Source organism: Homo sapiens, chromosome 6 (genome assembly GCF_000001405.40).
Source record: "Homo sapiens chromosome 6, GRCh38.p14 Primary Assembly".
Taxonomy (NCBI): Eukaryota; Metazoa; Chordata; class Mammalia; order Primates; family Hominidae; genus Homo; species Homo sapiens.
Genome location: NC_000006.12, coordinates 154,938,231 through 154,939,057, shown reverse-complemented (window position 1 = coordinate 154,939,057; position 827 = coordinate 154,938,231). Strand labels below are relative to the sequence as shown.

At 46.1% G+C, this 827-nt stretch overlaps 1 annotated feature.

Annotated features, from left to right (window-relative positions):
• Positions 298–473: a silencer, noted in NCBI's record as "fragment chr6:155259719-155259894 (GRCh37/hg19 assembly coordinates)". NCBI's record gives its function as "represses an EF-1alpha promoter that drives an FKBP-Casp9 reporter gene in an ReSE screen in K562 erythroleukemia cells {active_cell/tissue: K562}" and the evidence as "EXISTENCE:reporter gene assay evidence [ECO:0000049][PMID:32094911]".

Sequence of the window (827 nt, the reverse complement as noted above, 5' to 3'; positions counted from 1 at the left end):
CTGAGGCAGGAGAATTGCTTGAACACGGGAGGCGGAGGTTGTACTGAGCCGAGATCGCGCCACTGCACTCCAGCCTGGGAGACAGAGCCAGACTCCATCTCAAATAAATAAATAAATAAATAAATAAATAAATAAATAAATAAATAATAAAAAAATAAAATAGGCCGTGGCTCATGCCTATAATCCCAGCACTTTGGGAAGCCGAGGCAGGCGGATCACCTGAGGTCAGTATTTCGAGACCAGCCTGACCAATACAGAGAAACCCCGTCTCTACTACAAATACAAAATTAGACGGACGTGGTGGCGCATGCCTCTAATCACAGCTACTCAGGAGGCTGAGGCAGGAGAATTGCTTGAACCCGGGAGGCAGAGGTTGCGGTGAACCGAGGTCGCTCCATTGCACTCCAGCCTGGCCAACAAGAGCGAAACTCCGTCTCAAAAATAAATAAATAAATAAAAATAAAATAAAATGTTTCATATCCAAAATGCACAAGTTTTTCAGCTTTGTTTCTTACTTTTAGGTTTTAATGAAGTTCAGAGCAACTCAAAATGTCCTTTCCCAGCAGGAGTAGTCAAGATAAACCCCAGGTAAATTCTACCAAACGGCGAGGCAGAGCCAGCAGTGCCATTCACTGCAGAATACCTGAGTCTGGGCTCTGGGCCATCACTGGCTAAGGACCCTACTGTACCTTCTGGCTTCACTCCAGCGGCAAGAAAAGAAAGCGCGCCGCCGAGCACACAAGCCAGGGTTATGCGATTCCAGCTCTCCAGAGTCTAACTTCACTCCTTCTTCTGTAGCTGAATAAAAAACGTTGCCCTTTTCTGTT